This window comes from Homo sapiens, chromosome 14 (assembly GCF_000001405.40).
Source record: "Homo sapiens chromosome 14, GRCh38.p14 Primary Assembly".
Classification (NCBI taxonomy): domain Eukaryota; kingdom Metazoa; phylum Chordata; class Mammalia; order Primates; family Hominidae; genus Homo; species Homo sapiens.
In genome coordinates, this window is record NC_000014.9 from 20,502,740 (window position 1) to 20,526,307 (window position 23,568).

Consider the following 23,568-nt stretch of genomic DNA (forward strand, 5'->3'; position numbering starts at 1 on the left):
ACATTTAGCCTTTTACATGCAGTGTCTTATATAATATTTACAACAGCCCTGTAAAGTAAGTGCTACTATTATCCAAATTTATTCATTTTTTATTTAAAAAATTTTTTTAGTATTATAAACCACTTTATGTCCAAGAACGATTCAAATTTAGAAGACGAGAAAACTGTAGCCTAGAAAAAGAAATAAAAATGAAAATTAAAAACCTGTCCAGTCTAAAGGTTATACTTACACAGACTTAGGTTCTTTCTTTGTATTTAATTAAAGGTTAATTTCAAATGATCTCTAGTAGTAACAAAACTCTTTAGTTATAAAGAAGCAGGTGATGCATGGTTGTTGAATACATTACCCCTGCTGACCTTAGACTGCTGCTGGGCTCAGCAGATAATTCTTGATTTTCTCTTCACATTGCAAATAGACCTCACCAGAATAAATGGGCAGAATAGACACCAAAGAGGGATAGCGCAAGCAAATGTGAGGGTGAAATGCAGTCAGTGCCTTGCAAAAGGAAGTGCTCAATACTGGTAGTCGGTGTCATTGCTCTTACTGCAAATTATAAACACCAGCACTGCAAAAGTCAGCCCAGTAGACTTTGTAAATCACAGAAGTGGCTCCTAGACCACCATTTGAAAAATTCTGCCTGAAGGACTAAGGAAAACATCTTCTTTTATTTTTATTTTATTTTTTTATACCACAGTTTAGGAAAACATCTTCTTAAAAGATCGTGTTTATGTCTACAGATGATTTTTATAGTGCCTTAACAGTCTCCAGAGTGGTTTTAAAAATATTATCTCAGAATGTCAATTTCAGCTAAAGAAGTGAACCTTAGGATCAACATTGTAACCCTCCTGGTTTTATTCACCCAGAGTATAGGGACTGATAATGATAATGCTGCTTTGGATAGTCTCCTATCTAGGGCTAAATGATCAGATTTGCAAAATCCAGATATTCTTATGGGAATGTGGTTATTGGCTAGGGGAATGGAAAGAGGGAGTAGAGAGTGGAAAACTGGATAAAGTTATAGGTAAAGATATGTGAAAACTCATGATTGTCTCAAATACTCTAAATCTTGTCATAATACACTTGTAAAGTAATAATCATGTTGGAGAGATGGCCAAATAAAGGCCAAAGATCTTGACACTGCAGAAATTATAGGAGAGGATTAAAGGAAGTACATGTGGCAGATATAAGAAAAGACTAAACTTGAGATTCATGCACAAGGTCAGGCTGCATAAACCACAGGATAGCGGGTGTAACTCAGGAGCAGAACAATTGATCCATGAAACAAAACTGTCTGCAGTTTCCCAGGCTGGAGAGATTTCCCGTCTTGGATGTCTGGATCTGTCTCAGTGCCCAGATAGCCTCACTTCAAAGTGTTTGTGGGAACAGAAAGAATTGGCTGAGTGTGTTTGTTCAGTGCTAGGCGGAGGAAGTGAAACGGGGAGTGGGTTTAGGAAGTAAGTGTGTGTTTAAGAGCACGTGGACCACCAGAAGATAACCATTTTTCTTCAGACTAGCAGCCAGGGCACTGCTCACGAAGAAGGAAACCCTGGGAGGGAAGAACTTGGGGAACGAGAGGACACAAGAATCTCTGCAGCTGCTTATGCATGTACGTAAGTCACAGAGGTGTTGGGTGCCTCAAGGAACAACATGGAAGTCCTCTCTCTTTTTTAAAATAAATAATTTTTTAATAAATTTTCGAGCACTTTGGGAGGCCGAGGCGGGCGGGTCACGAGGTCGGGAGATCGAGACCATTCTGGCTAACACGGTGAAACCCCGTCTCTACTAAAAAATACAAAAAATTAGCCGGGCGCGGTGGCGGGCGCCTGTAGTCCCAGCTACTTGGGAGGCTGAGGCAGGAGAATGGCGTGAACCTGGGAGGCGGAGCTTGCAGTGAGCCGAGATCGCGCCACCGCACTCCAGCCTGGGCGACAGAGAGAGACTCCGTCTCAAAAAAAAAAAAAAAAAAAGGAATCTGTCATTACAACCTTCTCTCACAAAGAACTCCAGGCGCAGACAGCATCACCACAGCATTCTACCAACCATTTACAGGGAAAGTAATGCACGTCCACAAAACTCTTCCAGAAAGACAAGGGAGCACTCACCAGCTCCTGAGGCCAACGTAGCCTCAGTCCCTAACCCAGCAAGGACAGCAGCGGAGAGGAGCTCACAGGCCAGCCCCCGCCACACGTACACACCACTGCGAGGCTCCAAAGCTCAAGCAGCGTGTATCCAGCGAATACAACAAGAATAATGAAAAAGCGTTATCTGATCAATTGCTAGAGGAGCAGAAGTAACTCTGGCAAACCTCACTGAATGTGAATCCTGAAAGTGCCTTGATCTGCGGTTCTACAAGTTATGGTGCTGGAGGTCTCAGCCAATGCTGTAGGGTAGGACAAAGAAAGAGCTCCAGTGCCAGACAAGAAAAAGTAAAACTCTGATTGATTCACCCATGAAACAGTGTCTGTGTTTAGAAACCCCAAAAGAATATATAGACAAATCATAAGGATGAAAAAGTGAGTTTGCTCCCTCTCCCTCTCCCTCTCCCTCTCCCTCTCCCTCTCCCTCTCCCTCTCCCTCTCCCTCTCCCTCCACGGTCTCCTTCCACGGTCTCCCTCTGATGCCGAGCCAAAGCTGGACGGTACTGCTGCCATCTCGGCTCACTGCAACCTCCCTGCCTGATTCTCCTGCCTCAGCCTGCCGAGGGCCTGCGATTGCAGGCGCGCGCCACCACGCCTGACTGGTTTTCGTACTTTTTTGGTGGAGACGGGGTTTCACTGTGTTGGCCGGGCTGGTCTCCAGCTCCTAACCGCGAGTGATCCGCCAGCCTTGGCCTCCCAAGGTGCCGGGATTGCAGACGGAGTCTGGTTCACTCAGTGCTCAATGGTGCCCAGGCTGGAGTGCAGTGGCGTGATCTCAGCTCGCTACAACCTCCATCTCCCAGCCGCCTGCCTTGGCCTCCCAAAGTGCCGAGATTGCAGCCTCTGCCTGGCCGCCACCCCGTCTGGGAAGTGAGGAGCGTCTCTGCCTGGCCGCCCATCGTCTGGGATACGAGGAGCCTCTCTGCCTGGCTGCCCAGTCTGGAAAGTGAGGAGCGTCTCTGCCCGGCCGCCATCCCATCTAGGAAGCGAGGAGCGCCTCTTCCCCGCCGCCATCCCATCTAGGAAGTGAGGAGCGTCTCTGCCCGGCCGCCCATCGTCTGAGATGTGGGGAGCACCTCTGCCCCGCCGCCCTGTCTGGGATGTGAGGAGCGCCTCTGCTGGGCCGCAACCCTGTCTGGGAGGTGAGGAGCGTCTCTGCCCGGCCGCCCCGTCTGAGAAGTGAGGAAACCCTCTGCCTGGCAACCGCCCCGTCTGAGAAGTGAGGAGCCCCTCCGTCCGGCAGCCACCCCGTCTGGGAAGTGAGGAGCGTCTCCGCCCGGCAGCCACCCCGTCCGGGAGGGAGGTGGGGGGGGGTCAGCCCCCCGCCCGGCCAGCCGCCCCGTCCGGGAGGTGAGGGGCTCCTCTGCCCGGCCGCCCCTACTGGGAAGTGAGGAGCCCATCTGCCCGGCCAGCCGCCCCGTCCGGGAGGGAGGTGGGGGGGGTCAGCCCCCCGCCCGGCCAGCCGCCCAGTCCGGGAGGTGAGGGGCGCCTCTGCCCGGCCGCCCCTACTGGGAAGTGAGGAGCCCCTCTGCCCGGCCAGCCGTCCCGTCCGGGAGGGGGGAGGGGGGGTCAGCCCCCTGCCCGGCCAGCCGCCCCGTCCGGGAGGGAGGTGGTGGGGGTCAGCCCCCCGCCCGGCCAGCCGCCCTATCCAGGAGGTGAGGGGCGCCTCTGCCCGGCCGCCCCTACTGGGAAGTGAGGAGCCCCTCTGCCCGGCCAGCCGCCCAGTCCGGGAGGGAGGTGGGGGGATCAGCCCCCCGCCTGGCCAGCCGCCCAGTCCAGGAGGGAGGTGGGGGGTCAGCCCCCCGCCCGGCCAGCCGCCCCGTCCGGGAGGGAGGTGGGGGGGTCAGCCCCCCGCCCGGCCAGCCGCCCCGTCCGGGAGGGAGGTGGGGGGGGTCAGCCCCCCGCCCGGCCAGCCGCCCCGTCCGGGAGGGAGGTGGGGGGATCAGCCCCCCGCCTGGCCAGCCGCCCCGTCCGGGAGGTGAGGGGCGCCTCTGCCCGGCCGCCCCTACTGGGAAGTGAGGAGCCCCTCTGCCTGGCCAGCCGCCCCGTCCGGGAGGGGGGAGGGGGGGTCAGCCCCCCGCCCGGCCAGCCGCCCCGTCCGGGAGGGAGGTGGTGGGGGTCAGCCCCCCGCCCGGCCAGCCGCCCTGTCCGGGAGGTGAGGGGCGCCTCTGCCCGGCCGCCCCTACTGGGAAGTGAGGAGCCCCTCTGCCCGGCCAGGACCCCGTCTGGGAGGTGTGCCCAGCGGCTCATTGGGGATGGGCCATGATGACAATGGCGGTTTTGTGGAATAGAAAGGCGGGAAGGGTGGGGAAAAAATTGAGAAATCGGATGGTTGCCGGGTCTGTGTGGATAGAAGTAGACATGGGAGACTTTTCATTTTGTTCTGTACTAAGAAAAATTCTTCTGCCTTGGGATCCTGTTGATCTGTGACCTTATCCCCAACCCTGTGCTCTCTGAAACATGTGCTGTGTCCACTCAGGGTTAAATGGATTAAGGGCGGTGCAAGATGTGCTTTGTTAAACAGATGCTTGAAGGCAGCATGCTCGTTAAGAGTCATCACCACTCCCTAATCTTAAGTACCCAGGGACACAAACACTGCGGAAGGCTGCAGGGTCCTCTGCCTAGGAAAACCAGAGACCTTTGTTCACTTGTTTATCTGCTGACCTTCCCTCCACTATTGTCCTATGACCCTGCCAAATCCCCCTCTGCGAGAAACACCCAAGAATGATCAATTAAAAAAATAAATAAATAAATAAATAAAATTTTCAACTTTACAAACAAATGTGATAATAATTCATGGAACTCATGAATATTCTTTATCCAGGTACATTATTTTTTTAAACTTCCCTTATTTATTTATTTATTTATTTATTTATTTATTTATTTAGAGATAGATTCTCACTCCGGTTGCCCAGGCTGGGGTGTAGCAGTTGGATCATGGCTCACTGCAGCCTCAACTTCCTGGGCTCCAACCATCCTCCCACCTCAGCCTGCCTGGTAGCTGGAACTGAAGACACACGCCACCAAGCCAGGCTAATTTTTTCATATTTTTTGTAGAGATGGGGTTTCACCATGTTGCCCAGGCTGGTCTCAAACTCCGGGACTCAAGTGATCCACCTGCCTCGGTCTCCCAAAGCACTGGAATTGCAGGCATGAGCCACTGCGCCCAGGCCCCCTATTTATTTTTTATCATTTTCTCTCTCTCTCTGTAAACACACACATGTATACATATCCATATATCTATATTCCGAAGCATTTGAGAGTATATTGCATATGTTGTGCTCTTTTCCTGCTTAATATTTCAGTGTGCATCTCCTAAGAAGAAGGATATTTTCTTAAACAATCAGGGTACAGTTTTACATTCAGTATATCAAATACATATATACAGTGATTCTCCCTACCCAAAGTTTCAGTTACCCATGGTCAACGACGGTCTGAAACTATTAAATGGCAAATTCCAGAAATAAACAATTCATAATTTAATGTTGCATGCTGTTCTGAGTAATGTGATGAAATCTCTCACCGTCTCACTCCATCCTGCCTGGGATGTGAACCATCCCTTTGTCCAGCGTGTCCATGTTGTAGACACCACCCACCCATTAGCTACTTAGTGGCCAATATCAGATGCACCGTCACAGTATCTCAGCGCCTGTGTTCACATAACCCTTATTTTACCTAGTAATAGCCGCAAAGTGCAAGAATGATGATGCTGGCAATTCAGACACGTCAAAAAGAACCCGTAAAGTGCTCCGTTTGAGTGAAAAGGTGAAAGTGTCTCAACTTAATAAGGAAAGGGGGGAAAAACATGCTGCAATTGGTAAAATCTACAGTAAGAAAGAATCTTTTATCTGCAAATTTTGAACAGTATATTGTTATAATTATTCTATTTTATTAGTTGTTGTTAATATATATTACTAATTTATAAATTAAACTTATGTAGATATGTATGTATAGGAAGAGAACAGTACATATAGGGCCTTAGACATTCACTGGGGTCTTGGAACATATTCCCTGTGGATAAGGGGGACTGCCATAATACTCTTATCTACTACAGAGATCATACTTTTATCAATTGCCTCAATAATGTTCTTCATAGCAATTTTTTTTTTTTCTGGCAGGGAATGTGTCTCTTTGTTAAGGGGATGAGACTGGCCTAGCAAGACAAAGATGCATGCTCAGCTCTCCTTAGGATCTTCTTTTTTTGAGACAGAATCTCACTCCGTCACACAGGCTGTAGTGCAGTGGCACCATCTTGGCCTTCTCACGGGTTCAAGCAATTCTCGTGTCTCAGCTTCCCCAGTGGCTGGGACTACTGGTGCGTGGCACCATGCCGGCTAATTTTTGTATTTTTAGTAGAGATGGGGTTTCACCATGTTGGCCAGGCTGATCTTGAACTCCTACCTCAGGTGATCCACCTGCCTTGGCCTCCCAAAGTGCTGGGATTATAGGCAGAAGCCACCAAGCCTGGCCTCCTTAGAATCTTTATGAGTAGGGGAACCCCCAGCAGGTCAATTGTTTGATTTTCTTTGGTTTCATTCTTATTCCATTTCTTCCCTGAGAGTATAAACCTAATCAGCAAGACTACTCAGATGTTAAGAGATCTTTAATAGTAGAAGGAATCTGGCTTAACAAGATGTAGCTTTAGCAGGGGCCTGAGATGTAAAGTTGGACATCTTCCCTCCAGCCTCAGCTTAGGAGTAAGAATGGACTGTGGTACTTTTTCTATTCCTTTTTATCTTTTGTGGGGAAGGTGGGTAACAAGAAGAGTAATAGATATTTGAATAAGCAAAAGCAAATTTGGGTTAAAAATAAAGAGATGGTCTTCTGTGGTAAATCTAGTCCTATATTGACAATAAGGCTTTCTACAAGAATTTCCCTAAAGGAGAGTGTGACACTGTACACGCTTGTCTTCTCAATCATTCTCTGGTTATTTGGCACAAATTTCTGTTTAAGAATCAATTGATGTCAGGGGCATGGTGGCTCACACTTGTAATCCCAGCACTTTGGCCAAAGTGGGATGATTAATTGACCGCAGGAGTTTGAGACCAGCCTGGGCAACATAGCGAGACTCGTCTCAAAAAAAAAAAAAAAAAGAGCTGGGCATGGTAGTGTGTGCCTGTGATCCCAGCTACTTGGGAGGCTGAAGCAGAAGGATCACTTGACCCTGGGAGATTGAGGCTTCAGTGAGCTATGATGGTGCCACTGTACTCCAATCTGGGTGACAGAGCAAGATCCTGTCTCAAAAGGAAAAAAAAAAAAAAAAGAATCAATTGATGTCAACTTTCCTCACTGATTTCCCATATGTAAATTACCTCAGAACTGCTTCCCTTGGTCATCTCCCTACTCTTCAAGAGAAGAAACATGAGGAAACTTCCACATTTTATTACACAGCAACAGGGAATGTGGTAGGGAGGAACAAGAGAAATGGGAATGGAAAGAGAAATCGCTGCCTTGAAGAGGGTAGAGTAATGTGCAGAAGACACAGGAGACCCCAGATACAATGCTGTAGGGCTTAGTGAGATTACAGTCTCTACTAGAGCCAATTTTGATCTCAAAGTCACGTTCTTCCATTTCCCGCTTCCTCTCCAGGCAAAATGAAGCTGAATCTGGTGCAGATCTTTTTCATGTTGCTGATGCTGCTGCTGGGCCTGGGGATGGGCCTGGGGTTGGGACTTCATATGGCTACAGCAGTCTTGGAGGAGAGTGATCAACCGCTCAATGAATTTTGGTCCAGTGACTCACAGGACAAAGCTGAGGCCACTGAGGAGGGAGACGGCACCCAAACCACAGAAACGCTGGTGCTTAGCAACAAAGAAGTGGTGCAACCTGGCTGGCCAGAAGATCCCATCCTCGGTGAAGATGAGGTTGGGGGTAACAAGATGCTCAGAGCCTCAGCTCTCTTTCAGAGCAACAAAGACTATCTTAGGCTTGACCAGACAGATAGAGAATGCAATGATATGATGGCACACAAGATGAAGGAGCCCAGTCAGAGTTGCATAGCCCAGTATGCATTCATCCATGAGGATCTAAACACAGTCAAAGCTGTCTGTAACAGTCCTGTCATTGCCTGTGAGCTCAAGGGGGGAAAATGTCACAAAAGCTCCCGACCTTTTGATTTGACATTGTGCGAGCTGTCCCAACCAGACCAGGTCACTCCTAACTGCAATTACCTAACTTCTGTTATAAAAAAGCACATTATTATAACCTGTAATGACATGAAGCGCCAGTTACCAACTGGACAATGAAGCAACTCATCATCTTTTTTCTCTTCACCTTCTCCTGTTCCTCTTCCTTTTTTACTTCTTCTTTCTCATATAGTTCTCCTGATCTTAGGTATCATGCAGATGGAATTCTTCCTTGCCCTATGGGTCACCCAACTTGCATTTTGTTCCTAGGATTAGAGATGGTAGGATAAGGTGATGATGCCTAGTTTCTCTAAGCTCTCTGCCTCTCCTTTCCCTTACCCTGGAAAGGAGTAAGTGAAGAGCTGCTGTAGTCCGTACTGTAGTCCTGGCCATCCATTTGTTTCCTGCTCTGCTCTGAGTTTGTCTCTGGATGTGGACTGGAAGAGTTTAGTGTATCCTTTACCCATGTTCTTCCCTGCTGCCCACCCTGAGCCTCTACAACAATCACATAAGACTCTTGGGTTTTGCACAACTGCACTTCTCTATTGCGGATGAAGTTAAAGTGATTCTATCTGTAATGGCTTCTGGAGGACCATGTGGAACAGGCTTCCTTTTCCGAGCTTGGAAAAATTTAGGGCCTAGGTATGGGGGTCTGCTGGGGAGGTGGTGTGGTGCTGTAGAGCAAGATAGAAGATGGGCTGGAGCAAGAATAGAACTCTTTTTTCTTGACCCTTCACTGCCCTTTTCTCTTTCTTCCCACCTTTTACTAGCAGCCTCCTTGCTTGGCTTCTTGTTTTCATCTCTTACCTTTGCTTTTGTCCTTTGCTTCTTTTTCTCCTTACTTTCTCTGTTCTCCTTTTCCTCTTCTTTTTCTTTTTGGGCCCGCTCTTCTCTTTATCTGGATCCTTTTAGAGATTCAGTCAGCCGATACTGATCACTTATGCTATGTTGGTCCTATAGTCAGTCATGCAAGCAGATGTTCGTCCTATAGTCAGAGTCTGGCACAGGGAGTTAGAGGGGGGTGGGTCAAGAGAATGAGAAAAAGAGAGAGGAAAAGAGAGAAAGAGAAAGAGAGAGTGAGAAATCTTTTTTGAATTATGTCCAGAAGCAGAATAGTGCTCATATGAGGTGCCCAGTAGATGTGGGATGAATGGGATGGGAGACAGTCTTTTTCTCATTTAGCATCGTTTCCGCTTTATTGCTCTAAAGAACAAGAAAGTTAGTGAAAGAATAATTTCAGCAGAGAAGGTATCAAACTTAATCAAGGAGAAGAGAAGCTGTGTGGCTGGATACACAGAAGATGCAAGTGGCTGCCCTCAGCCTATTTCCTCTAAATTCAAATGAGAAATAGTGTAGTTAGTCATGCATAGGGAGAAGAGGAATCTGAGAACATAGCTGTAAGGATTCACCGTGTGACTGAATTTTGAGATTTCCTTCCCCTAGAGTTTTTCTCTGCTTCACATTCCTAGACTATTATAGACCCAAGTCAGGGACATACATAAATGGGAGACTGAAGGGAAGAACGGTTTGCTTTACTCTGACCTGGCTTGCATTTTCCTGTTCTTTCTGTCTTTATTCTCTTTATCCTTCCTGTTTTCACAGACAGGCAACCACTTTAGTATCCTCCTAGACGTCCCTGATTCAATATATCCCTTATACCTCTGACTCACTTCCAGCAATAACCTCTTAGGAACAGTGTTGTCTCCCAGGGAATTCTAATAATAGTGGACAGGAGGTATGTCTCCATCTGTGGGCTGGCCTGATGTTTTAGAGGTGGTAATGAAGTGGTGAAAGGTGATGACCCAGCCAAGGCAGATTCCTATGCTTCCTGAGGGCGAATCCCTCTCCGGGGAAAGAGACAAAAGATTATCTAAGGTAAGGGGGAAAAAATGAGAAATAGGATGGGAAGAGGGGAAAGAAGAATAGGTGTCAGAGAAAATCGGCCACGTTAGCAATCTGTCTGGTAGGTAAACCAAGGATTTAGGAATGAAATGTGAAAGATCTCCATTGTATGGAGTGAATTATTAAGAGAATGGAATTAGCCAGGGATTAAAGCCTATATTCTCTAGTATTCAGATGTGGCTCCATCCTCTTCAGCTTCCGTCCAGCTTCTCTCCCTAAGCGTTCCGGCACTGTTTGATGGGCATACTCATCTCCTCCGGGTCTTCACTTTGGGCAAATCTCAGTGGGTCATGTTTTTCTTTTGTTTTGTTTTGTTTTGTTTTTGTTTTTTTTGTTTAATCTGACCACGTAGACTATCGCAGGAAAGCAATTTACAAAATACTCCACAGGCGCCTAGTGGCTCAAGCAGGAAAATATAGCTTCCATGGCTGATAACAGGGTGACAAGGCATTGTGGGGACCTCACCTCCCAGGGGCAGAAAATTAACTCACTGTAGCTCAAATTCTGCCTCATTCACAAGACTTTCACCGAGTCTTCTAATTCCAATGTAGCTTCCTCTCTACACTTCCAGGATCTGTGTTGAGCCCATATGACAGATCCCAGTCCCTTATCTACAGTACCCAAATCTCTGAAGCTCTGAAAATGGAAAGTTTTTTTCAAAGTGGCCCCAAAACTCATTTAGATATGACACCTGACTAGATTGACAATGTGAGGCTATTTATCTTGTTTATTTATGCTATGTGACCATTACATATTTCACTGTGGAAATATCACTGTGTTTTGTTATGAGTAGGTCCTTCTAAGAGTGTGTTAGTCATATATGATATAAACATACACACATTAACATACAATAGTGCTTTTTAAAATCTGAAAATGTTGGCCAAAATGCATTGGCCCCAAAAGTTTCAAGTAAGAAATTGTGGGATCTATATATACTATTTAATTAGCCTTAATTAATTTGAGTATACTGGATATGATCCTAGTTAGGCCACTAGCACCTTTGTGGAAGGATCTGTATTATAAGTTTCTTCTATATTCTTCATTGACACATTTATTAATCAATGACTATCTACCTATGGGCCAAGGGATGTCTCCTCTACTGTTTGGAAGACACTCAAATATTGTCTTCAAAACACTCTGTACAAGTTTTTGGCCAGGTGTGGTGGCTTATGCCTGTAATCCTAACACTTTGGGAGGCTGAGGTGGGAAGAACACTAGAGCCCAGGAGTTCAAGACCAGCCTGGGCAACGTAGGGAGACCTCATCTCTACAAAAAATAGAAAAATTAGCCAGGCGTGGTGGCACATGCCTGTAATCCTAGCTATTTGGGTTAGGCTAAGGTGTGAGGATTGCATGAGCCCCAGAGATTAAGGATGTAGTGAGCTATGATTGCACCACTGCACTCCAGCCTAGGTGACAGAGTGAGACCCTGTCTCAAAAAAAAATTTTTTTTAAGTTGTTCTGAGCTTTGCTGCTTATTAACATTACTGTCCAGGAATGGTGGCTCACGCCTGTAATCCCAGTACTTTGGGAGGCTGAGGCAGGTGGATCACCTGAGGTCAAGAGTTCAAGACTAGCCTGGCCAACATGGCAAAACCCCATCTCTACCAAAAATACAAAAATTAGCCCGGCATGGTGGTGCAAGCCTATAGTCCCAACTACTTGGGAAGCTGAGAAAGGAGAATCACTTGAACCTGGGAGGTGGAGGTTGCAGTGAGCCAAGATCATGCCATTACACTCCAGCCTGGGCGACAGAGCAAGACTCTGTCTCAAAACAAGCAAACAAACAAACAACAACAACAAAACATTACCTTGGGGAGTTTAAAAATTTTTTAATTAAAAAAAAGTTACAGGGCCCTCTTCTAGCAATATTGGTTTAATTAGTCTGAGTTGGAGCCTAGACATCAGGTGGGGTCCAGCATCTTGGAGCCTACCAGTTTTCCTGTGAATTAATGTTTCAAAACTGTTAATAAAGATGTTGAACTGCTCAGGTTATTAACTAATATGATGTGGTGTGATGTAGGAGAAAAGAACCAATTCTTGGGATAAACGTGAGAATATCTCAGCTCTGCCATTCAAAAAAAAAGCAGCTGTGACTATGGGAATTGCCCTCAGCTCTCAGAATCTGAGGTTTCTTATCAGTAAAATGAGAAAATGATCATACCTACTTTATAGGGTGGCAGTGAGGATTAGATGAGATTGAACAGCCCATGGTAGGGTTCAATGAATGGCAGCTGCATTTGGTGGTGATGCTGCAGGGCTCACTGCCCACGGAGAACACATAATATTTTGACGGAGTCCTTCTGGAAGCAGCACTATGACACGAAGTGCAATACCATCAGCACAGGTTTGAGTTTCAGGTGTGTTGGCAGTATGTGGACATGTGGGATCTTATAGGATTTTTAAAATTTCATTCCTTGGATGGCCACAAAATTTATATTCTAGGGCCAGTAGAGTCCTTAGACTTGAGCGAGCAGGGCCACTGCCCTCAAGGGTCCCTTTGGAGTGCCTTCCATACAGGAAGTTACCCCACTACAGTATCTGGGACTGGCTGAGGCCAGCAGTGCCATGTGGGTAGGGTGCTCTGAGCTTAGACTAGGACTGGTGTGGGCCCGGGTCCCATTTCTCCCCTTTGGAGCACTGTCTCCCCACTGCCATGTGTGGGGTCAACTAGGTGCTGCAAAAGAGTTCTGGGACTTGGTCAGGCGTGGTGGCTTATGCCTGTAATCCCAACACTTTGGGAGGCCGAGGCAGGTGGATCACCTGAGGTCAGAAGTTCGAGACCAGGCTGGCTAACATGGTGAAACCCTATCTCTACTAAAAATACAAAAAAAAAAAAAAAAAAAAAAAAAGCTGGGCATGGTGGCAGGCACATGTAATCCCAGCTACTTGGGAGGCTGAGGCAGGAGATTTGCTTGGACCTGGGAGAGGGAGGTTACAGTGAGCAGAGATTACAGGCATGAGCCACCGCTCCTAGCCCCAATGGGGCATTTCCTGTCAATGTTCTCTCTTGCCTCCAACTGGTGGGTGATAACATGCTTTCTTGGGTTGGTCTTAATCTGTGCAAGATGAAGGATAATCACTCCTTGCATGAACAGGATGCTTTTTTCACTCTGCCCACGGGTCTCTTGCTAGTAGCAATGTGTGGAAGGTAGGAATGTGGTTAGTTGTAAAAGAGGTCACGTTCTAGGAATGCAGTAATTACGGCTTAAAGAGTTCAAGAGAAAATATGATTGGAAGATATGTTTTATGTTTATACTACAAAACTCCAAATGGCAAATTCTACATGGCCTGAAAATTAATTATCATTCTCATTTTCTGGCATATTCTGGATAAGACTTGCATTTGTGATCATCACCAACAACATAAAGTAATAAAGTAACCTTTGAGAGAGTCATTGGAAGTTGGTATTTAGGCCATAAACTGGATAATTCCCTGTCATGAGTAACACTATAACTGACATTAAATGGCATTAGGAAACTACAGAGGCAAGAAGATACAAATTGTTTCAATTTAAATAGGTTTCGAAGAGCTGTAGCAGTGTGATACCCTTTTTTCTTGTGGTTGGAGACATGAAATATTCAAGAATGGTGCATTTGACAGTAAGGAGTGTGAAGAAATGATTCCTAGATCTAACAGGAAGAGATGATATCTGGACAGTCCGAAGAATCTCCATATACATTGATGGGACAATAAAGAAATATATAGTATCTCTTTCTTTTCTCATTATTCTAAAACTTCATTGACAAATCATGATACTTCACTTGGGCTCATAAATTTTGTAATATATTTAAACATGAAACTGTTTATATAGATAGGGCCCTCTTCCTCACCCTTACCCCCCAAAAAATTTAGCCAGGGCCACACACAGTAGAGGCAGCTCTGGTTGTGGCTGTATCCAAGGTAATGTCTCATGTGTTATGTCCTTATTAGGCTCTCGACAAGAAGTCATCTCCTCGCCTTCCTCAAGTGCTCAGTCTACCAAGCAGGGTAGCCTCAGTTGGTTCTTTTCAAGCCTCTCTTTCCCATGAAATGAAGTTACGTTATCCAGCAGAGATTCATTGCTGGTGGGGTCAAAAGGAACTCCAGGGCACAGAGTTTCTGTCATTTTCAGCAATGCTTTGATTTAGCGTGGAATTTGTTGATGTTCCTGCCTCCATTTCCTGTATCCTACGCAGAGACCTGCCTTTCTCTCCTCTTCACATTTTTGCAATGGGCTCCAGTTTGTTTTCAGAAAGTGATTCACATCCCAGAGACGTCACTTCCAGGAGCAGCTGGGCTGATTCTTTATAAGAATTATGATTCAGAAACCCAGTTAAGTTTGGATTTAGGGGAAAGGTAAGGGGAAGAGGAAAATGGTAATATTAAGGCCAAGCAACAGAGGCAATGAGGGAAATGTGAGTCTCATGTTGAGACATAATAGTCCATTACCTATGGAAATAGGATTTCAGGAGGTACTGGGATGCCCCAGTGTTTGAAAATGTCAGCTCTCCAGCACTAGCATGAGGTTAGTGTTTGGAATTATATCCTTATAAACTTATTGCATATCCCTATACACAAGTATATAAAATTATTAACTTCAAAAAATGGGATCTTCGGCACATTTATAAGGTGACAACAAGAAAAGAAAAAAGCAAAATAGGCCTTATTCTATGAATGCTTTTGCATGCGTTTGGCACTGTGCTACCTACTTACTGGGTATACAGTCATTAAAACAAAACAAAACAAAACAAAAGAAACAGGCTTTGCAACATATCCACAAATGAGATCCAGAGGGGATAATTGTGATAGGAAGAAGGAAGGTGATGTGATTAGAGCCAGCCCTGGGCACTGCTCTGGAAAGCTGGTCTTGCTAAGGACCAAACATACAGCAAGCAACTGTATTAGAAGACTGGGGTTAAAATAATATATTTGTAAGGTTGAGAACAGTTGATACATATAGACCTCCCTTACCAGGGAGGTGCAGCCATCCCACAGCTGCTGAGTATTCTCTGTCAAGAATTCACAGGTGCACTCTTCTCCAGAGCATAGCCTCCAGCCTATGGGGGCCGCCTTGTTGACAATGTCTAAGAGGTTATGTCCTTCCCCAGGGGTAGCCCATAGCCAATGACTGGCTGATATGGATGTGTAAGAACTTAGACCTCTTGCCTCAATCTTATGGCATCAGTCATGTTTTAGAGCTCCCCATGGGGTCAGGTTTGAGACTAGCTTTTAGCTAAAATCACTTCTTTTTTTAGCTTCTTACATACAGGTTTCTCCTAAGAGCACTCCCTCAATAAATCACTAACTCAAGAACATGTTCTTTTTTTTTTTTTTTTTTTTTTTGAGATGGAGTCTTGCTCTGTTGCCCAGGCTGGAGTGCAGTGGCGCGATCTCGGCTCACTGCAAGCTCCGCCTCCCGGGTGCACACCATTCTCCTGCCTCAGCCTCCTGAGTAGCTGGGACTACAGGCGCCCGCCACCATGCGCGGCTAATTTTTTGTACTTTTAGTAGAGACGGGGTTTCACTGTGTTAGCCAGGATGGTCTCGATCTCCTGACCTTGCGATCCGCCCGCCTCGGCCTCCCAAAGTGCTGGGATTACAGGCGTGAGCCACCGTGCCCAGCCCCTCAAGAACATATTCTAAGGAAGGAATAGGGAATTCATTTTTCTTGAAGCCCTCCAAGAGCTGAAGGTCAGGGGCCCAAGCTGGAGATCACTTCAGGCAGGTGGGCAGGGTAGACTCTAGAATGTCAGTGAAGCATAATGGTTAAGCACATGGAATCTGGAACTTCAATTGAAAATTCCAGAACTTTCATTGAAATTGTACTTCTAACATTTACTAGCTTATCTTAGGTAAGTAACTTCGATTGAAAGTTCCAGAACTGCGTTAAAATTGTAGTTCTAACATTTACTAGCTTATCTTAGGTAAGTAGCCTCTCTGGTTATACCCAGTAGAACTAACACAATGCCTTGTGCATTGTAGGTGTTCAATGTGTATATATCTAGTTGAACTCACTTATTTTTATTTTTATTTTTTGCATAGCCTATTCTCATACATTGACTAATATGCCTTTTTTTTTTTTTTTTTTTTTTGAGATAGTCTCGCTTTGTTGCCCAGGCTGGAGTGCAGTGGCTCGATCTCGGCTCATTGCAACCTCTGCCTCCCAGGTTCAAGTGATTCTCATGCCTCAGCCTCCTGAGTAGCTGGGATTACAGGCACCTCCCACCACGTCAGGCTAATTTTTGCATTTTCAATTGAGACAGGGTTTCACCATGTTGGCCAAACTGTCCTCGAACTCCTGACCTCAGGTGATCTGCCTGCCTCAGCCTCCCAAAATGCTGGGATTACAGTGTCACTGTGCCCGGCCATGACTTGATCTTCCCTGGTCCAATATTCTGGCCCCTGAATCAGTGATGTTTCCATTACACTAGGTTTCCAACTTTATTTTTCTAAATTTAAATGTAAAAAATGTTTTAGGCTGGGCATGGTGGCTCATGCCTTTAATCCCAGCACTTTGGAAGGCCAAGGCAGGAGGATCACCTGAGGTCAGGAGTTCAAGACCAGCCTGGCCAACATGGTGAAACCCCGTCTCTACAAAAAATACAAGAAAATTAACCAGGCGTGGTGGCACATGCCTGTAGTCCCAGCTACTTGGGAGGCTAAGGCAGGAGAATTGCTTGAACCCCGGAGGCGGAGGCTGCAGTGAGCCGAGATCGCACCACTGCATTCCAGCCTAGGTGACAATAGCAAAACTCAGTCTCAAGAAAACAAAAATATTTTTAGAGATGGGGGGCTTTCTATATTGCCTAGACTGGCCTTAAACTCCTGGCCTCAAGTAATCCTGTTGCCTTGGCCTCCCAAAGTGCTGGGATTATAAGGGTGAGCCACTGCACCTGACCTTTCTTGATCTGTGGTTAGTTGGCCATCTGTCATCAATATCTGAGACTATAGAAGCTCTTGATAAGAGCTTCATGTGTTTTAGCTATTATGGTAGCCTTAAAATGTGTCCACACAGTCACTAATGCTCTTCCCTCCAAAAGGTGAGCTTAATCTCTCTCTCCTTGAGTGTGACTGAATTCAGTGAGAGAATCTGCTAGAAATGGATTCACTTCCAGCGAACAGAATGTGATCAAAGTGATGGCATGCCTCTTCTGAAATAGGTCCAAAAAAGGATTTGGCTTCCTCCTTGCTCTTGAGCTCACATCACTCGCTCTGGGGGTAAGCTAGGTGCCATATCATATGAACACTCAAGCAGCACAATGGAGAGACCCATGTGGGAATTGAGGTCTCCTGCCAACACCAGGAAGGAATTAAGACCTCCTCCCAAAGGCCGTGTGGGTGAGCCATCTTGCAAGCAGCTCCTCCAACCCCAGTCAAACCTTCAGATGACTGCAGCCCTAGCTGACATTTTTACTGCAAGCTTATGAGAGACCCTGAACCAGAACCTATCAGTTAACCTTCTTCTAAATTCTTGACCTTTAGAAACTGCAACATGGTAAATATTTGTTGCTTTAACTGCTAAGTTTTACAGTAATTTGTTTCACAGCAATAGATAATATAGTTATGAAATGCAAGACTTTCTGGTCTGGAATGGCTCATTATAGTGTTTTTTCCATCTCTCCACTCATATCATTTTTTCTTTATCTAGTAACTAAAGAATTATTTTACTTCCTCTCCCCTTCCCCACTCCCAGGCTAATAATTGACCTACCAACTTAGTTAAAAAACATAGAATGTTTATCATTTTTAGTACATTTATAAGCTTATGAAATGTATTTTCTTATCCAGTTATCTCCAGAAATATTAAAGATTACTGTTTATTCTGATTATTTTAAGTTCCTCACATAGAAAAAAGATACTATTTAACATTGTCATGGGTTAGGGTACCAGGCAGGTAAGAATATACGCCGATACACACACTTTCTAGAGGGCAATTTGATAATATGCAGCAAAAGTGCCTAATATTTTTTTTTAAATCTTTGACCCCAGGATTTTACTTTTCATAATTTATCCTAAGGAATCAATTTGGCAAATGCATAAAGTTGTATGAATAAAAATGTTCATCATAGCATGATTTATAATGGTAAAAGTAAAAAAATTCTAAGTGTCCAACATCAGGGATTATTTAAATAAATAGTAGTTTAACAATGAAATAGTATTCAGTCCCTAAAGGGATAGTAAAGGCCTAAATTTATTGACGTGAAAGAATGTAGATGAATTCAGTGAAAAAAATTTATGGTGTGTTTATTATTATTTCATTTTGTGAAAACACATGCCTACCTTTGTAAATAACATTTTATATATATATGTTTTCTAATATATATTTAACTTTCTTATACATGCATATATATATATATGCGTGTAAAAAATCCTGGAAGGATAGATATCAAAATGTCATCAGTGGTTAACTTTCAGTGATGAGATTTAGGGCAATTTTAATTGATTCATTATTTTCAAATTTATTTGTATTTTCTAATATTTTTCCTAGTGATTTAATGAATAAAAATAGCAATACCATTCATTGTAAAAAAAATTAGGAAAATACAGACGAAAAAGGAGAAAATCATGGTCAAATGTAGTCACACTATTTAAGATTAATCACCCTTAATATTTAGGTGCATATACTTTTAGATTTTTATGTGCAAATATACATACGAACATGTATATGTTAAAAAACTTGGAATCAAATATTATTTACAGGGTTGCCTTATAATTTTGAACTGTAATTTTAAATGTTTGAAGTAACATCAATCTCAGAAAAATTGCAAGTACAACACAAATAACTCTTTTTTTTTTTCCAGAACCATTTGAGAGTAAGTTAATGAATGCGCCTCCATTCCTGAATACTTTGGTGTGCCTTTCTTGTAACAAGGATATTCTCATATACAGCTATCAAAATCAGGACATTAACGTTAACATTCACATTATGCTACCATCTAACTCAGACTCTACTCAAATTTTACCATTTGTCTCAATAATGTTCTTTAGAGCAAAAAGATCCAATCAGAATCATGTGTTTCATTTAGTAGTCATGTCTCTTTATTCTCATTTGTTGTAATACAATTCCGCAGGCTTTCTTAGACTTTGACTCTTTTGAAGATTCCAGTCCAGTTATTTTGTAGAATGTTTCTCCATGTGGGTTTGTCCTGATTAGATTTAGATTCTCCATCTTTGGCAGAGATGTCACAAAAATGGTGCATGTTCTTCCCACTGCATCCTCTAAGTTTCAATTCAATTTCAATTTAAACCATTATTGATGATGTTTACTTTGTTCACCTGATTAAAATGAAATCTGCCAGCCTTCTCTACTGAAGTTATTATTTTTTTCTTTGTAACTACTAAGTATTTTGTAGTGGATGCATTTTTAAACTATGTAAGTATTTCAGCTGGGTCCGGTTGGCTCAGGCCTGTAATCCCAGCACTTTGGGAGGCTGGGGGGTTGGTGGAGGGTGAAGATCACCTGAGATCAGGAGTTCGAGACCAGCCTGGCCAACATGGCAAAACCTCATCTCTACTAAAATTATAAATATTAGCTGGGTGTGATGGCAGTTGCCTGTAGTTGCAGTTACTCAAGATGCTAAGGCAGGAGAATCACTTGAACTTGGGAGGCTGAGGTTGCTGTAAGGTGAGATTGCCTCACTGCATTCCAAGCTGGTTGACAGAGCAAGACTCCATCTCAAAAAGAAGAAGGAGAAGGAGGAGGAGGGAGGAGGGAGGAGGGAGGAGGGAGGAGAAGGGGAAGTGGAAGGGGAAGGGGAAGAGGAAAGAGAAGGAGAAGGAGAAGAAGAAGAAGAAGAAGAAGAATAAGAAGAAGAAGAAGAAGAAGAAGAAAACTGTGTAGGTATTTAAATCCTTATATTTTAAATGCATTCATTTATTTATATCAGTATGGATTCATGGTTTCTTGTTTTATTCAATGAGTTATAAGTTGTCCCAGATTAGCCAGTGGAAGCTATTTTAATAGGGCTTCTGTGTGTTTTTGATGTATCCCTATTCTTTCTCCTCCTCCTCCTCCTCCTCTTCTTCTTCTTCTTCTTCTTCCTCTTCTTCTTCCTCTTCCTCCTCTTTTTCTTCTTCTTTCTCTCTTCTTCTTCTTTTCTTTGCTCTGTTGTCCAAGCTGGAGTGCAGGGGTGTGATCATGGCTCACTGCTTTCAAACTCCTGGGCTCAAGCAATGCTCCTACCTCAACCTCCTGAGTAGCTGAGACTACAGGTGTGCATGACCATGCCCAGCTAATGTTTGTTCTTTTCTTTCTTTCTTTCTTTCTTTCTTTCTTTCTTTCTTTCTTTCTTTCTTTCTTTCTTTCTTTCTTTCTTCCTTCCTTCCTTTCTTTCTTTCTCTTTCTTTCTTCTTTCTTTCTTTTTCATTTTTTGTAGAGATAGTGTCTCACTATGTTGCACAGGCCGGTCTCTGAACTCCTGGGCTCAAGGGGTCCTCCTGCCTCGGCCTCCCAAAGTTCTGAGATTACAGGCATGAGCCACCATGCCCAGCCTCCCCATCATTATTTAGGCAGTTCCTTGCTTTTAGAAACTACAAGATGGTCCAAGCTCATTTTATATTTTCCTTCCCCTGGAACCAGTCATTTTTCTAAGATGACCTGGTTGTGTTTAGTGACGAACAGTATTTTGAAACCTGGATCTGGGTGCTAGGTAGGTGCTCATTGCTGTTGGGGTGAGAGAGCTCTAAGGCTGTCTCAGTGGACATAGGTGGGAATATGGCAAATAGCCAATCACACTCACACTCACATGTATTTGCATGTATTTTCTCTTTTTTCTTTCTTTCGTTTTTTTAATTTTTGCTTACAAACCTTTTTTATTTCTCTTATTTTTGAGAAAATCTGATCCTACTGAACTTTGCATGAAGATTTCAAATCTATATGCAAATACGCATAGGCATTATTGTTTTGCATATGGAAAAATGAGGGCTCAAGTCATAGAAATATATGATGGCAGATCAGTGAGGAAATCCTGGGCTATTTTCTAACATGATAGAATAGGGTTTCAGACCTCTTGAATTCAGCAAGGATGTAATTTACAAGTAACTACTCCCTTGAAAATCAGAGTGACCACACTTGTAGTGAAATTCATTCCTGTGGTGCTTGCTGGATTCCATTCTGGTGCTGGAAGCTGGACTGGAGACTGACCATGTTCCTTCAGGTATCCTCAGCAGTGTACAAGGGAAGCTCCTTTCTGAGGGAACCATGCTTGCATGTAGACCTTCACAGTAGTGCAACATAACTTCTCAGAGATCAACATGCCACCATTCAGTGAACTTGGGAATTTCAAGAGGAGGCTAAGTGTCAGCACAGCGTCTACTGAAGTGCAATGCCTGCTTCTTAGGGAAGGCAACAACTCACTAGAAGCAGGCCCTTCAGATCCACAGGTGGATGAAATGAGGATTATTACTCAGCCAAAAAGGACCGGTTGAGTGGCTGGAAGGTCCAATGGCTCATCATCCTCTTGTTTAATAGCAACATATGGGATTTCCTGTCCCTGGGGGTGTGGCAGAGCAGAGTACCCAAAGTACAAGTGGTGACCTGGCCACTGATGTGCAGTTTTCCATAGATCTCATTAAATCTGGCCACAAGGGCAGGCATATCCTTCACTTTTCCTTCACTTTTGCCAGCACTTCCTCTGAGAATGCATGTCTTTTCACAAATTTTAATAAATTTCCTTCTGCAGCATTTTTTTAGTGTCTCTATCAGGGTTTCCAACATATTTGACTGGATATGGATTATAATAGTTAAGTTAGTGCAGGCTATGCTTTCTGGATTCATGGTTTGAGAAAAAAATGGACATAGCTTTTGCCACTTGGTTCTGATTCAGAGCTAACGCCACAAAGAAACGGGATGCTCTCCTGGAGGGAACCTCTCCTTTGAGTGGGGCTTCTTCTGTTAATGCAGAACAGATTTTGAAAGACTCAGCGCTCTTCAGTTTGTTGCAAACTGCAAAACTAAGAACATAGGATATTTGGTGAATTTCACAGCTTGATTTTTCATCTCTATCAATACTTCCAAAGCACTTTTATATTTGCCTTTGATAAATAACATATCCATCAAAATATTGAATGATGTGGAATCTGAGAAGGAATCTCATAAATGCTGGTCTTTCATGAGCCCCTCAAGATCCAACCCATAACAGACTCATGAAAAGTGGTCCAAACCTATACTCCCCCAAAGTGATATTTCTGTTCCCTGCATGGTACCTGTAAATGACATTTGTAGCCAGCTCCACATGGTCCTGGGACCCACAAAAATAAAGTAAGGTTATCAACTCCCCCTTCAAGATGAGCTTGTCAGTTTCTCTTCCAAATTCCTAAAATAGGTTTCTTTAGGAAAGATTACATGCAACAGCCACCTTCTTGTGCTGAAATTCTTTTAATTTCACAATACTATCTGTAAGTAGGTATCTGTTAGCTCTGAAAGGACAGCAGCCACAGGCAAAGCTGGAGGCTCCCACCCCAGGATACACCGAAATCTGCAGCAACCTGCAGGAGAACTCGATTCGAGGGCCTAAGTGCAGCACATGTATTTTCTTTATGTAACATGTAAGTTCTCACATGTATTTTCTTTATGTAACTATATTGAAAACCATACGTTTATACCAATACCTCAATTCAAATCCAACCCCACAAGCTCATATTAGGTTTTCTCTTCCCATATTTATATCTTAATTTTCTTATTTATAACTTTTTGACTTATAAATTTCTTCTCCCATATTCTTTAATATAGTTGCTTATTGCATGCATCTTCATGTATGTAACCAATCTCACCTTGCTGCCGCCATTCCCCCTCCCATATGGATGCCCTTTGCCCACTCTGGCTCTGACACTCTGTGCCAGGGCTGCCCCTCTACATGGGTGTCCACCATTTGGGCCTGGATATCTCACACTAGGCAACCCCTCTGAGTGGACATCTCCTCCACTTGCTCAGGCTGTGATTCTGCAGGCTGTGTTCCCCTCTCAGCCCCCTCAGACATCCCTCACCAGGGACACCTTTTCATCTCTCTTGGGTTCTGAGTTCTTATTCCTGTGCCAGATGGCCCCTCCTCATCAATGTCTATGACCTTGTTCTGCCCCACCTGGTGGCTTTAGGACTAAATGGTTTAGAAAGGGAAGGTTAGGGAAAGAGGACTTATATCTTTTGAAAATTCTATTATATAATAGAATTTTCCATATTGTTGAGTAGTCATTAAAAAGTTTTACTCGATATATTTTATTCTATTAATGTAATGTGATTTATTTAAGTATTCCCTCTTTTGTCACATTAAGGTGATTTCCAATCGTAAGTAATTTGGGCTGGGCATGGTAGCTCATGCCTATAATCCAGCACTTTGGGAGGCTGAGGCAGGTGTATCATGAGGTCAGGAGTTCAAGACCAGCCTGGCCAACATGGTGACACCCTGTCTCTACTAAAAATACAAAA

General features: G+C 44.2%; 1 protein-coding gene and 1 pseudogene across 2 annotated transcripts; one reads left to right on the forward strand and one right to left on the reverse strand.

Moving 5' to 3' along the window:
• Window positions 1–1,493: 1,493 nt before the first annotated feature.
• RNASE10 (ribonuclease A family member 10 (inactive)) lies at window positions 1,494–11,145 on the forward strand. 2 transcript variants are annotated; one of them, NM_001012975.3, is made up of 2 exons: window positions 1,494–1,606; window positions 7,728–11,145. In NM_001012975.3, exon 2 carries the CDS (start codon window positions 7,733–7,735, stop codon window positions 8,381–8,383), a length of 651 nt encoding a protein of 216 aa, NP_001012993.1. In that variant the 5' UTR covers window positions 1,494–1,606; window positions 7,728–7,732; the 3' UTR covers window positions 8,384–11,145. The 2 variants fall into 2 exon arrangements, with proteins under 2 accessions (NP_001012993.1, NP_001373135.2); NM_001386206.3 differs by lacking the exon at window positions 1,494–1,606 and adding an exon at window positions 2,798–3,280.
• A 10,204-nt stretch (window positions 11,146–21,349) lies between these two features.
• On the reverse strand, window positions 21,350–22,668 carry PTCD2P1 (pentatricopeptide repeat domain 2 pseudogene 1; annotated as a pseudogene).